This window comes from Homo sapiens, chromosome 9 (assembly GCF_000001405.40).
Source record: "Homo sapiens chromosome 9, GRCh38.p14 Primary Assembly".
Classification (NCBI taxonomy): domain Eukaryota; kingdom Metazoa; phylum Chordata; class Mammalia; order Primates; family Hominidae; genus Homo; species Homo sapiens.
The window spans coordinates 121914551-121929039 of record NC_000009.12 but is presented as its reverse complement, the minus strand read 5'-3'; the positions used below and the strand labels follow the sequence as shown (position 1 = coordinate 121929039).

Here is a 14489-nt window from a genome sequence, read left to right as displayed (position 1 = left end):
ACAAAGGTTGTCTCTGATAGGCTAAAGATTGTTTTTTATTCAAATGAGAAGAGAGGATTCATTTTATACTAGTGTGGCAAATGTATGTTGTGTGTGTACATAAAATTTTATAAAAGTTTTTAAAATAATCTATCATGACTGTAAATGAATAGCATTTTTACAAACTCAAAGGGGGTGTGGTAGCTCACACTTGTAGTCTCAGCTACTTGGGAGGCCAAGGTGGGAGGATCACTTGAGCCCAGGAGTTCAAGACCAGCCTGGGAAACATAGCAAGACCCCATTTCATTGAAAAAAAGAAACAGGCCGGGTGCGGTGGCTCAAGCCTATAATCCCAGCACTTTGGGAGGCTGAGGTGGGCAGACCATGAGGTCAGGAAATCAAGAACATCCTGGCCAACATGGTGCAACCCTGTCTCTACTAAAATACAAAAAATTAGCTGGGTGTGGTCGTGCGCACCTGTAGTGCTAGCTACTTGGGAGGCTGAGGCAGGGGAATCGCTTGAACCCAGGAGGTGGAGATTGCAGTGAACCGAGAACACGCCACTGCACTGCAGCCTAGCAAAAGAGTGAGATTCTATCTCAAAAAAAAAAAAAAAAAATCCAAAACAAACAAAATAACTCAAAGGGGCAGGAGGAAACTTTTAGAGGTGATGGATATGTGTTTTACCTTGATTGTAGTGATGGTTTCATGGTTATGTGTACATGTACAGACCCATCAGCTTGTATACACTAAATAGGTGCAGTTTTTAATATAACAATTACATCCCAATAAAGCTGTTGAAATAAATGAACAAATAGAAGTGACATCACATTTTCTAGAAGTAGTACCTCTTACCAAGGAGGAGCTGATTGACAGGTGGTTCTGAAACAGAATTCTTGATTTTATCGAATCACAGGCATGGCCATGCGTCCCGTAGCCCCCTCTGGTACTGCCCCTCCCACGCTTCTCCATCATCTACTGAGATACTTTATGATTGTGGCTCCTGGAGCACCTCCATTGAAACCACCTGGCTGCATGTTCCATAATATCCAAGTCTCAGGGTTGGGAATAGCATCTTAACAAGCTCCTATGCTGACTTCTGAAGCACATCAACATTTGAGATTTATTGGCCTCTAAGGTAAGATCCAAACCAAATAACATGTGATGTACAAGATCCTTCATGACTAGGTTTTTCCACCTTACTAAAACCATCTGCCACTGTCTCCTGCCTGCCAGTGATCTGTGCTATGATACTGAATAAATGGAAATTAATAACCCAGCACTCCAGCAGCTCTTCACTCTATTCAGAGCACTCCTTAGGCCCTTCTTTGCCTCGCTAACTCCTAGTCCTCTGTCACCATCCTGGCCAGAATGATATCCCCTCAGAAGTCTTCTCTGCCTTCTCCCACCTTCAAAAAAAAAAAAAAAAAAATGCCACCTTCTGTGCTCTTGTGATATTTACTATTTTATTTCAAAATGAGCAGTTTACATATTTCTTTTCACCTCCCTGGGGGCCAGGAAAATAGGTTATCATGTATCTCTAGATTCCTTTACCTGAGAGTGCTTGACATGTAGCAGGATTGACTGATCCAAAAAGCTGGATCATAGTTCAGGGAGAGGGTGTTTATAGAGGATCATGGTGCTGATTTTGTTGAACAAAAAAATAGTAACCATGAAGATCAAATTCCCGGAGGAACTGAAAAGCTTAGAGAGAGGGTAATGGTTATAAAAATACTTCTCTATCCATCTATCTACATAGATACAGACAGCGCATGCGCTATGTGTCAGATGCTGTGCTGAGAGCATTGTAAGCTCTACTTCAATTCATTTTTACAACAGTGCTACTGTTATTTTGTCCCTTTGACAGGTGAGGAGAGAAGCATAGAGACATGAAGCAACGCTATGCTATAAACCAAATGTTTGTGTTCCTCCAAATACATATGTTGAAATCCTAACTCCACCGGCCAGCCCCACCATGTGATGGTCTTAGGAGTTAGGGCCTTTGGGAGGTGATTAGGTCATGGGGGTGGAACCTCATGAATGGGATTCATGCCTTTATAAAAGGGGCCCGAGAGCTCCTTCACCCTCTTTCCACCGTGCGAGGCTCTCATGAGAAGTCGGCTGTCTGCATTTGCAAGAGGATCCTTGTCAGAACCAACCATGCTGGCCCTGTGAGCTCGGACTTCCAGCCTCCAAACCACGGGAAATACATTTCTATTGTTTCTGTGCCACCCCAGCTATGATTTTCTGTTTTAACAGCCAGAGTGGGTGAAGACAAGCAGTGTGCCAAAATACAGCTGAATTGCTTGGATCCAAAGCCAGGCCTGGCTCGTGCCAAAGTTCCTGCTCCAGCCTCGAGGAGGAAGAACCACTCAAAGTGACACGGGAGAGAGGAGACGGCCTTGTTGATGGAGCCTTGGCCCCGAAGCCCCACTCTGCCCCTAAGCAGCTCCGAGACTGGGCACAAGCTGCTGTCCTCCCCAGCCTCAGGATCCTCGTCTATGCCACAGGGCCAGGAAGAGCACCACCTCCAGGGCTGTGCCGTCCTCAGCCCAGCGCCTGGCACCCAGCCACTGTGCCCATCATCGGGTTGTTCTGAGAATGAAAAGGATTAATGAATGTGAATGACTCCTTAGCAAGCCTTGTGGCAGTGAACACAAGAAGGGGGGAGTTATTTTTGGATTCTAAACAAAGCCTGGGTCAGCAGGGACCCGCGGACCTGGAGGGAGAGCGTGTGGATAACAGCAAGAGTTTTAGAGCGCGTGGCAATCCTTTGCCCTGACCCCTGGCATGCTGGAAATGGTCTGTGGGCAGCGCAGGGTCCCCCAGGGCCAGTTCTGGCTGTGCACCCCAGCCCCGGGCCCCTCTGAAGCAGAGACTGCTCACATCTGAAACACCACGGCTCCTTCCTGGCAGAAGCGTGTGAAGGCAAACTTCAAAGTGTGTGTCAGGATCCTCTTCTGCCTGCAAAGATTAAAAAACCCCTCGAGAGACTCAATAACCTGCGAGCCTTCACACGCGTAAACTGGTATCTTTTTGAGAGGAACACAGAACCTGGAAGACATTGATATGGCAGGATTTTCAGAGCTCCCGTGGCACAAGAAAAGTGGGAAGGAAAGATGAATGCTTTATGTTCTAAAGAGCAGGCCTGTGCCTTTCATCCTGAGATTAGAGGCCTGGATGCCAGGCTCTCACCCCTGAATGGGTGATGTTCTTAAACAAAGGGTGAGGGTGGAGGAGGGGAGCAGGGCACTGCCATTCATTCATTCACTCCACAAACCCATCCTAAGTGCCGTTCCAGGCTCTGGACTAGGCTCTGGACACAGAGAGATTCAGAGACCAGCCCCTGCTGCTGACTTGCAGTCCAGCCAGGAGACAGCTGCGGGAGCCTGTGGAGAGCCTTGGCATGGGAACCTAAGGGAAACCTAAGGAGGTCTCTCACCCTTCCTGGGAGGGTCTGGAGGGCTTTGCTGAGGAGGAAAGCCATGAATTTGAAGAATGAGTCAATGCTCATTTGAGGAAGAGGAGAGAGGGCCTCCCAGGCAGAAGGGACATGAGCAAAGGCCTGGAGCCATGAACAGGCCTGATGTGTCCAGAAAACGGAGGGGAGGATGGTCCCGGGGTGGGGTGGGCGGGCGCAGCTGGAAGGCTGGCGAGATGGATGGAGGCCCGGCAGCGGGAGGCCTCGCCCACCCTATCTGGGAGCCCACCTAGCCTGGGAGCCTGGGACTCATCTCCTGGGCTCTGAGGGGCCCACAAGAGGTGTTAGTAGCATCTGAGTGACATTTGGTCACTTTCTCTGGGTTCTTATTTCTACTTTTTTCTAAGTTTAGGAGAAAAGCACACATCCTGTTTGTCAGGTTCTCCAGCACTTTGGTCTTTCCTTCAGAAATATCATGGTAGAAGATTGGAACTGCAATTCTGCCGGTGACATTAGAGATCCCTAAACAGAGCCTTTCAGAGGAGAAGTGAAGCCTGTGTCTGCTTCTTCCTCTCCCACAGCTGAGCCTGTTCTCCTCGCCATCAGGAGAGGAAATTCTCATAATAAGATGATATTGTTGGATTAAAACAGGTCGAAAAGAAACAAAATCAATATTTTGCAATTTGTTTTATTATACAGAGCTCCTGGACTTTGCTTACAGACATTTTGGCTCACTTCCAGCCCCTTGTGACAAATGACTATTTCAGGGAGAGTTAAGATGTCTCTCACAAGCTGGAGGAAATCTCCAGAACGAATTTTAGATGATAAAAGTAGCTGGGCTTGACGATTTTTGCTCAGGTTAAAAAAAAAAAAAAAAGTGCTTGTTATCCCCACAGGTATTTCTGCAAGAAATTGCCTGGGCCTGTTTTTTTTTTCTTTCCTCTTTCTGGAAGTGCCCGTTTTCACTGTGACCCCTGCCTTTTCATTAGGGCACTCCCAAAGCTTGTCTCTCCACCTGTCATCTTCTCCTCTGTCCTCCAGCTTCTTTTCTTTTTCTCCAGAACTCTCATCTGCTCCTTCCCCGATCTTGCTTGGCCAAGTCTTTTTCATCTTCCTCTGAAAGGATTGTTCTCAATATCTCCTAACCCTTTTCAGCTACGTTGTGATGAGAACAAACCAACTAACAAATAACATTAGGCAGCATACAGAACTCAGGAAATGGGAGTCAGCCAGGGCTGTGGCCCTTGCCTCTTTTCTCTGCCCTCCCCTGCTGTTAAGGGATCACTGCCACAGTGCTGGGGATGTGGCACTCAGATGGGAAGGAAACATCCTAGCCTCACATTCAACGGCGTCACTACACGCCGAGCACCTACAATGGGCCATGCACTGTACTGAGTACTGAAAGCATGAAAGAGGCAGCGGTTAACTCCACTTGAGGGTGTCTGGGAAGGCTTTCCAGAAAGCCAATTACTTCTTATATTAGTCCGTTTTCGTGCTGCTGATAAAGACATACCTGAGACTGGGTAATTTATAAAGAAAAAGAGGTTTCATGGAATCACAGTTCCACGTGGCTGGGGAAGCCTCACAATCATGGTGGAAGGCACGTCTTACATGTCAGCAGGCAAGAGAGAATGAGAGCCAAGCAAAAGGGTTTTCCCCTTAATAAGTCTCATAAGATATGGCAGCCATGATTCAATTATCTCCCACTGGGTCCCTCCCATAACATACGGGAATTATGGGAGCTACAACTCAAGATGAAATTTGGGTGGGGACACAGCCAAACCATATCACTTCTCTAGCACAAAAGCAAATGCAGTTAAAAAAAATGAATTCTTTCAGTTGAGGATGAAAACCAGAGTATCACTTTCCTGGGAGCGAAAGAGAGTCAGTGTGATGTTGGAAGGAAAGCTCAGGCTTGAGCCAGACTGACCAAGGCTGGAAACTTCATAACTTCTGTCAGCCTCTATGAGCAGAGCAAGCCACTTACTCTTACCAAACCCCAACTTCTTTACCTGTAAAATGAGGTACATTAAAAGATGAATATGGTTTTTAAAGCACCTGGAACAATGCCTGGCTCAGAGGTTGTCTTCATAAGCACTGATTTCACTTGATTTTAAAGGGGTCTTTTTGCAGTTTTGGAACAAACAACAGTAAGGTATTTTCAAAAATTACAATGGTTATGTTAAAAACAAAATTGAAAAAAATGGAAAAAAATACTCCAACCCTAACTTCTACCAGCAATTTTAAGCTCTTCTAGACCCTGTCCACCTGCAGATGTAGCTTTAATGTTTTCTTGTAACGTACAAGCTATTCGAGTTCTACCGGCTTTTGGATGATATTATGGCATAAACTTTTCCGCACATTGCTATGCAATCCTCATAATCATCTTAGTGAATAGAGAACATCCTAGGGTGCAGTTGTACCATAATTTATCCCCGTAATCAGACATTTATGTGGTACTCAATTTTGTTCTTCTTTAAATAAAACCCAGCTCTAGAATCACAGGGCTAAAGGGAATGAATATCTCTGAAGATCCTCATGCAAAGTCCCATTTTGCTTTAACCCAAAGGGTGAGTTATAATTGTTGCCTTTGCCACCTTTAATGCCCATGCGTGCCCCTTCACCTGCAAAGCATTAGGTGTTGACTTTCTAAAAGTAAGTGCTAACTTAGCATGTGTAAGGTGGTTTTGAAATGTGCATGTCTTTGGTTGTTAATGAGGGTGGCCGTGTTTCCATATAACTGTTTGTATTTACTATTTATGTTTCATTTTATAGTACTGGGAAATTATCTGTTTATATCCCTTGTCCACTTAACCTTTGGGATTTTGAGGTTTGATATACACATGTGCATGCACACACACACACACACACACACACACTGAATAGATATTGACCCTTTGCGCTAAAATAAAAGCTTTTTGGACATGACTAGGTTACGGGGCCTGCTTGGGGCTCTAACATACTCTCTCATTATCATGGTGACAGCAGGGGCTGCTATAGGATTTCCAGAATTGGAGTCATTTCTTCCAAGTGAGAAAAAAATCCATTTTACCCTTTGTGAGTCTCACACTTGTGGTTAGCAAATGCGATCTTTCTACTAATTCTAGGGGCACTAGAGTGTCACTGGGTGTTTTATGTCTCCTCTGGCCCAAGGTCAGCTTGCTCTCAAGGTAGTTATCAGTCTAATGTAGCAATTCACAAACTTGAGCATTCCCGGACCCCAAGAATTCCTTCAGAGACTCTAATGAGAAATGCAACATTAAAAATTCAACATTGACACCTGAGGTGATGACTTGGCACCAGGGCCACAGATGATAAGTATAGATGCACACACAGAAAGGGAAATCATGGGACAACAACATACTTATATTAAATCTTTTAAAAAGAGTATCAATAAAATGTAAACAGACAAGGGCGACATTCTTATGGTCTAAAGAAGTTTCCTAGGGATTATCAGTATATGGTTCTGGGTAGAGATAGAGTTGTCCCTCCTTGGCTGGTTCAACCTAACGGGTTTGTCCTGAAATTTCCCCTGGACTGAGGAGTTGAAGTTGAGGAACAACAGCAGCAGCAGCAGCAGCTGGCAGTTAGAAAGTGCTGACCAGTCGCCAGGTTGTGTGCTAAGCTCCTTGAAGATGTTATCTCATGATCCTTGAAGCACAGATGAAAAGTTTTCAGTCTGTGACTGTGTCAGGCTTCCCGGGTTCCTCCGTGGGCTCAGAGAAGGGTTCTTCAGGGCAGACCATCAGCCTCTTTTTTTCATTTCCCAGCTCTTCTTCCTTCTACCTGAGGAGGCGGCTGTGAACATCTAAAGCTTAGGATTACTTCCCTCTATCTAGCCCAAGGCTTCCTTGCAGGCCTCTCTACCCTTCTCCACCATCTGCTTTGCTTCCATTCTCTATTTTCAATCCCCTGCTCCCTCTTTGTCTAACTATCCCCAATTGGAGTGACTCATAACTTGTGATTACTAAAGCTGAAATCCTCAAGGTGCTGAGAAAGTACACAGAAATAAATCAGCAGGTGCCAGAATTTCTCCTAAGGGGGACTCAGCACTGGGGAGGGATTACTGAGGTTTAATTTACACAACAGCTGTGCTTCTGAAAGGGTGTGTAAATCAGTCCAGGCATAATTGAAAGGCACTAGGAAAAAAAATTGTTACTTAGAGGAATCCTGTGGCGAGTTTTTTTTATAAAACAAATCTCATGATTCTCGGGAGTTGGGCTCTGCTGTCCCCTCTTCCTTGAAGCTCTGTTCACCCCCCTGCCTCCACTGGGTTAATTGCTCCTTAATCTAAGCACCTTCAGGACATTACTTGTATCTCTGCCTACTGGCCTTGTGATATGAATACTTCTTGGCACAAAACAGGCATGAAACTCATGTTTGTCGAGTCAAGGAAAGAAGGAACTGGCTAGTAAAACCAGTGAATTAGACTCAATTCCCTGAAGGACAGATGTGTGATCTGACGGACGTCTTTTGCATACCACCAGTGAGGGTTTTCCACTGGTGTCTTCCTCTTTGATTGGTCAGTAAATATTTGAATGAATGAATGACTAAAAAATTCACCTCTCTTAATTCATCCTTGGATAAATCCATCTGTTAACAAAGATTAAGTTTATGAGTTAACTTTAAGATTGTTAGAAACTTGTTGGCAGAAGTCAAAATAACTCAAAAGCATGAGGATGTATTATTCCAGGTTGTTGTGCATTAGCTAGACGCTCTCTCTTCTTACCTTCCCCAGGCAAAGCGGTCCTAGGCCCTCTGTAGTGGGTAAGGATGCTCCTCCCTCTTTGAGAACAATTCCTTCCCTGCAAGGGAGGCTGCTCGTCTTCATGGTCTTCACAAGACTGAAATGATCATGGCCATATTTGGTGGTATAAACTCAGGGGATAGAGTCTTATCCAATTGTCCTTGTGTTAGAGCAGACATAGAACAGTTTCCAGAGGTGAATCTTGGCCTTGCCCACAGATCCTACCTTGGCCCACTCCTGTAGAGATGAGGTGGCCATCTCTTCAGGTACGAAGCTTATTAGGTACCTCACTTTAGAAAAGGATGTCAACCTTACCTTTGGTTTGATTATCTGTCAAAGAAAATAGACTAGGTCTAAATGTGCAAGATGGGCTATTTGCTTCCCGATGATTTGCTGCCTAGTGACGTCCTTCATCGTTTACCAGAGAGATATGGAGCTCATCTGGTTTAGATCATTGGATCAAGCCAAACCATCAGAGAGCTTTGCTCCTTGATACCATTGTTCCAGCTGCCTTTCCTGGCTCTGCTTTTGTGCTACCCTGCAATGGGAGACATTACCAGAAACATTGAATTTATAAAAAAAAATTTTTTTTAAACAGAGTCTCACCTTGTCACCAGGCTGGAGTGCAGTCGTGCAATCTTGGCTCACTGCAGCCTCGACCTCCCAGCCTCAGGTGATTCTCCCACCTTAGCCTCCTGAGTAGCTGGGACTATAGGCATGCGCCACCACACCTGGCAAATGTTTTGTATTTTTTTTGGAGATGGTGTTTTGCCATGTTGCCCAGGCTGGTCTTGAATACCTGAGCTCAAGCAATCTGCCCACCTCAGTCTCCCAAAGTGCTTGAGTGCTAGGATTACAGGCATGAGCCACCACACTCAGCCTAAAAAACATTGATTTTAAATTTACTATAATGCATGCAAAGAACTTCAAACCGTGCTTGGCACAAAGTTAAACAGTATTAAAGTGTTAGCTATTATTGTTAACATTGTCATCACTGTTAGTGTTAATATTAGGATATTTCCTTTTTTTTTTTTTTTTTTTTTTTAGAGATGAGGGTCTCACTATGTTGCCCAGGCTGGTTTTGAACTCCTGGCCTCAAGTGATCCTTCCCTCTCAGACTCCCAAGATGCTGGGATTACAAGCATGAGCTGCTGTACCTGGCTTAGGATATTCTTGTGGACCTCATGCTCTGTATTACTCACTGTCTCCCCACAGGGGAAATTTCTCTTGGGCCCCACTTGCAGGACAAGCTGGACTTCTGAGCAACTGTCTTCCATATTACAACATCTGTGGACAAAGCGAATCTTTGAACTGTTCTCTTTCCTTCTTTCCTTTGGCTACCAGGAAGCCTGCAGCCATATTTGTGCCCTCACTCTCAGGACCTCCGCAACAACTGTGCAGGCCCTTGAAGCGTTATGCCTCTTTGTGTTTGTCTTTAACCTTCTGTTTTTATTCTACCCTTGCTCTTCCTTTCCTCCTATTTCCATGTTCATTTTAAGGCATTTTATCTATGTCTACCTATCTGTGTAAGCCACTTCACATCCTTTTTTTAAACAGCATGTATGTGTTTCTTTTTAAAATCCATATTCTCAAGTATTTGAAAGGGATAAACCTCCTGAAGTTATATTGCCATCTTTAAAGTTATTTAATAATGATTTTATTGAAATATACAAAAATGGACTTTCTGAAATGTATAATTAATTAAATGAGCCCCCATTATCCCCATCATTTAGCCTAGCTTCTGATCTTGTAAAATATGTCAGGTGGACATTTACCTTTTTGTTGACACTTTCTATTCATAGTGCATAATTCATAAGAGCACTGCTCAGTGTGTTGTCATAGAATGAACATACTGGGGTAACCCAATCAAGGACAAGAAATAGAACATTACCAGGACCCCAGAAGCCTTGCACATACCCTCTCCACTAGCCCCACGGGTAACCATCATACTGGTTTCTAACCTCATCTGTTACTTGGCGTGTTTTTGAACTTTACATATTAATGCTGCCATACTGTATGTACTGTTTTGTATCTGGCTTCCCTCACTCAACACTTGTTAGTGACATTCATCTGTGTTGTTGGGTTTAGCAGAAGTTCATTCATTTTCATTGTTGTGTGGAATTACATCTTGTGAATATTCCCACAGTTTATTTCTACATTCTGTGATTGATGACATGGGTTATTTCCAGTGTTTGGTTATTATTTCATGTTCTTTGTGGTAGCAAGATGGGTCAGAGAAGAAATGAAGTGAAATGGATGAATGAATGCATTTTTAAATTTATCTCTAATGATGCCTCCCCACTCCTAAGTGCCTTGGCCCTGCAGTCCCTGGAGCCAGATCCCTCCCCAATCTGAACTCCTTGGACAGCCCCTACCTTGTCCTTAATGCCATCTGCCCTAGACCCAGCTTAGGTGACACCATTTAAATAAGCATTACACATCTCCTATGGGAATGGCATCATTTTGGAGTCTGGGGGTACATCAGGCATGACAACAGATGGCAGTTGCTACCCTCTTGGGACACATGTTCCAGTGGCATCGAAATCTCCCCACCTTCACTCTGACATTTCCCATCACTCTGTGACTTCTGGTTTCTCTGGTCAATGCTCTACCCTGTAGCAGCCTCTCCGTTAGGCCTCACAGAGTCTCACTCTGCACATTCATGGCCCAGCCCTCTGCCAAAGATGTGGAGAGTCTCCCCAACCCATCCACAGACTGATTCCTCTCCAGTAACCTGCTCCATGAATTCCAGCAGCTCAGCAAATCTGATACACCCCACACCCTGGTCCGTGGTCTGTAAAGTGACCACAGGCTGAAGGCTGGGTAAACCGAGGCCCACCTCATGTTTCCCTTTTTGCAAGGCTCACAGGGCTGCACTGCCAGTTGTCCAGTGCTTAAAAACACTGGCCTCAAAAAAAAAAAATGCCTACTTTTTATAGTTATTTAGGGCAAGAGTATAAGTTTGCTGTCACTCTCTCATGGCCTAAAGTGGAATCACATGCTTTTATTTTCAATGACCCCATTTTATTTCATTATATGGGCTTAACTTAATTCTAGTGGATTTTTAAGTGCAATTTATTTCCTATGGAGCAATGTAAGAATTTAAATGTAAGATTTAGAGATTATACTCACAATTTATGCTTGCGCCACTGGGTGCTGTCAGTTGCTTTTCTCTTTCTTTCTTTCTTTCTTCTTTCCTTCCTTCCTTTCTTCACTTCCTTTCTTCCTTTCTTTCCTTCCCTTCCTTCCCTCCCTTCCCTCCCTTCCCTCCCCTTCCCTCCCTCCCTTCCTTCTTTCCCTCTCTTCTTTTCCTTCCTTTCTTTCTTTCTTTCTTTCTTTTTCTTTTTCTTCCTTCCTTCCTTCCTTCCTTTCTTTCTCTCTCTCCTTCTTTTCTTTTCTTTCCTTTTCTTTTCTTTCTTTCAACAGTGTCTTGCTCTGTCACCCAGGCAGGCTAAAGTGCAGTGGTGCAATCATAGCTCACTACAACCTTGAACTCTGGGGCTCAAGTGATCCTCAGGCCTCAGCCTTCTAAGTAATTAGGAATACAGGTATGCACTGCCTGGCTAATTTTTTTCATTTTTTTTTTTTATAGAGATAAGATCTTGCTATATTGCCTAGGCGGTCTCGAACTTCTGGCCTCAAGCAATCCTCTTACCTCGGCCTCTCAAAAGCACTGGGATTATAGGCATGAGCCACCATGTGCAGCCACCCTCTACTTTTATTATGGTAAAATATACATAACATCACATCGCATTAGCCAGAATTGGGTCAAAGCCCTAAACATAAACCAGTATTGTCAAGGGGGATGGGCCCATCACAACTGGCTTAGACCAGTCAGAATATACCCCTGGCAGGGCCTTGGACTGGGGTCAGCCTCTTCTGAAGCATGTGGCTTTTAGGAAGAGCATGGCTACCTAAACAGAATGTAATATGTTAGGAAATGGGACGGGGTCTTGGATGGGCCTTTAATTGTGTCTGCAACAGCTCCCCAGCCCTCAAATACCTAGGCAGCTGAGTTCCAAGTAAGAGACATCTACCTGGGGAGAAATTAGGTTTGTCTGAATAAAGTAATAAAAATCTTAACTGGAGATCAAGTTTCATAACAAAATTTTCAACCCTCTTGACTGTCATCAACTACAAATCACACTCTAATGTGGGTAGCTGTCCTCGAGCCTGACATGTGCTCATGATTCCTTCAAGCTGGATACCATCGTTCCGTTATTTCTGATCATCTTTTAAAGGCCAACTCAGAAAGTGCTTCCTCTGAAAGCCTTCCCAGAACCCCAGAATCAAAATGAATTTTTCCTTTTTCTGTATTCTGTTTTATTCTGGTTTGCACAAATCGCCACTGTGTATCAAGGCTTTTTTTTCTTTATTGCTTTGTTTTTAAAATTATAAAAATAGTATACATCTTCCTTGTAAATAATTCAAACAATTTCTAAAGTCTATAGATTGAAAGGCAAATCTTCCCTCAGCTTATCCCTCAACCCCAGCCTCACTTCCCAGCGACAACCACTATAAACAATTTGCTTTCAATCCTTCTAACCCTTCTTAGTGATACTGAAACCTGTAAAGAGAGACAAATTTATTATGTTGTAGTAATTTTTACAAAAACAGGATCACACTATGTATGATTCATGCATATGACATGCTATGACTTGCTATTTTTACTTATCAGTACAGTAAGGACATCTTTCCATGTCAGTAGATACAGATCCGGACATCATTGTTTCTATGGCCTGTGTGCTATACCAGTTTGGGGCATTTTCATTCTTTTTATAATTAATCCTCTGATGATGAGGACTTAAGTTATTTCTACTTTTTCACATTTCAAACAACATTGCCAGGAACCCCCTCAGTGTGTGTGTGTGTGTGTGTGTGTGTGTGTGTGTGTGTGTGTGTATGTGTGTGTCTTTGTCTATACATGCCAATATTTCTTCAGGATGGACCCTTAGAAATAAAATTGCTGGGTCAAGAAATAGGTGATTTTAAATTTTGATAGCTACTGCCAAATTTTATGAGAATGTTTGGGGGCCAACTGCTGCTTGTATAAGATAAGTAATTTCCAGATGTCCAGACTTTATAAGCCAATAAAATGTAAACGAAAAAGAAACCCAAATTGTGAAGATAACATAAAGTAGCCAACATTTTATTTTTCTCTGTAAGGATCCTTTTAAAAAAATCAAGTACTAATTATTAGGCTTGAAGCATGTGAAAATAGCAATTTTTTTGTTCTTTTACACACACAAACAGTACATATTTATTCAACAAAGATATATTGAGCTGGGAAATACCAGGTAGGCAAAGATATTTTAAAATAGCACAAAAGTTTCTGATTCAAGAAAGAAACTTCTAGTATTTTAGGAAGGACAGGCATCTATCTAAGCAATTAGAATACGATGTGATGGGTGTCAGAATAAGCAAACATGAGATGTATCGGGAAGTCAGAAGAAAGCGGAACTAACTTTGGGAGGTGTCCTGTCTGCTGGCAAATGTGCACATGTTCTTGTAACAGCTGTATACAAGCACAGCACTAGTATATGCACTCCAAAATGGCACTTTCGTATGTCAAAATAGCCCAATATCTGCTATTTCGTATGGTTTAATGTAGTCCTGTGAGCATGATTTCATGGAAGAGTGATACATTCACACAATTACACATGCATGCACATGCACACACACACACCTTTGTTTACTTTTTTCATGTTGCTATGATGGGTAAATACCCAGTTTTATGTCCAGTGGTCACTAGTGTGGAATCCTTGGCCAGCTCCCCCTCCCACCACCACTGCCAGTGACTGTCTGTTCTGTGAGGAGAGAGGTTTCCGTCACAGAAAGAGCAACAGGAGGCAGAGGAAATCGAGATGAAATGGCATATGTTCCTGACCTGGGTCCCTAGCACTGGTTTTGAGCCCCTGTGGAGAGCGGGTTAGAGGCAGAGCTGATAGGTCTGGGTGAGAGGACCTGGGCCACACTTGGCACAAGCAGGACCCCAGGAGCACAGTGACACAGGTTCCTGACTCTAGTCCTCTCTCCTTCTCTATGGGATCTGGCTCCATTCCCAGATAGCCTAGGGAGCAGGAAGAGCCAGCCCTCTTGCTGTGGCATGGTGCTCCCAAGCAGCACTCCCCAGCACCGTGGTGTGCAGGGGAAATGGGGCATCTGCGACTCTGCAGGAGCGCAGGCAGGAGTGGTCCAATGAGGATGGAGGGGGCCGCATGACATAGGAGTGGGCTGCGTGAGGATGTGCTGGGTGCTCTTGAGGCTCTTCATGGAGACGCCCAGGAAGGCCTGAGTGATCTATATGGAGGGTGAGAGCAGGGCAGCACTGTCTCTTTTACT

At 44.0% G+C, this 14489-nt stretch overlaps 1 protein-coding gene across 11 annotated transcripts in view, besides 1 other annotated feature; it reads left to right on the top strand.

Annotated features, from left to right (window-relative positions):
* Positions 1–14489, top strand: part of TTLL11 (tubulin tyrosine ligase like 11) — a 277635-nt gene that overhangs the window by 164269 nt on the left and 98877 nt on the right. For 2 of the 11 annotated variants that reach the window (XR_929720.4, NR_171570.1), the window contains 2 exons: positions 896–1117; positions 1847–4068. The exons of 7 other annotated variants lie outside the window; for them this stretch is intronic. Coding sequence is in view for 1 of the 4 variants with exons in the window: in XM_017014309.3 (XP_016869798.1) it covers positions 896–1025 (130 nt within the window). In the remaining 3 variants the exon portion in view is untranslated. Of the gene's footprint in view, positions 1–895; positions 4069–14489 lie in introns of those variants that run through there. 2 more of the 11 variants (XR_929721.4, XM_017014309.3) reach the window with 2 other exon arrangements.
* Positions 2401–2901: an enhancer, noted in NCBI's record as "H3K4me1 hESC enhancer chr9:124688418-124688918 (GRCh37/hg19 assembly coordinates)". NCBI's record gives its function as "activates a minimal SCP1, AML or CMV promoter by ChIP-STARR-seq in primed H9 embryonic stem cells {active_cell/tissue: H9 hESC(primed)}" and the evidence as "EXISTENCE:reporter gene assay evidence [ECO:0000049][PMID:30033119]".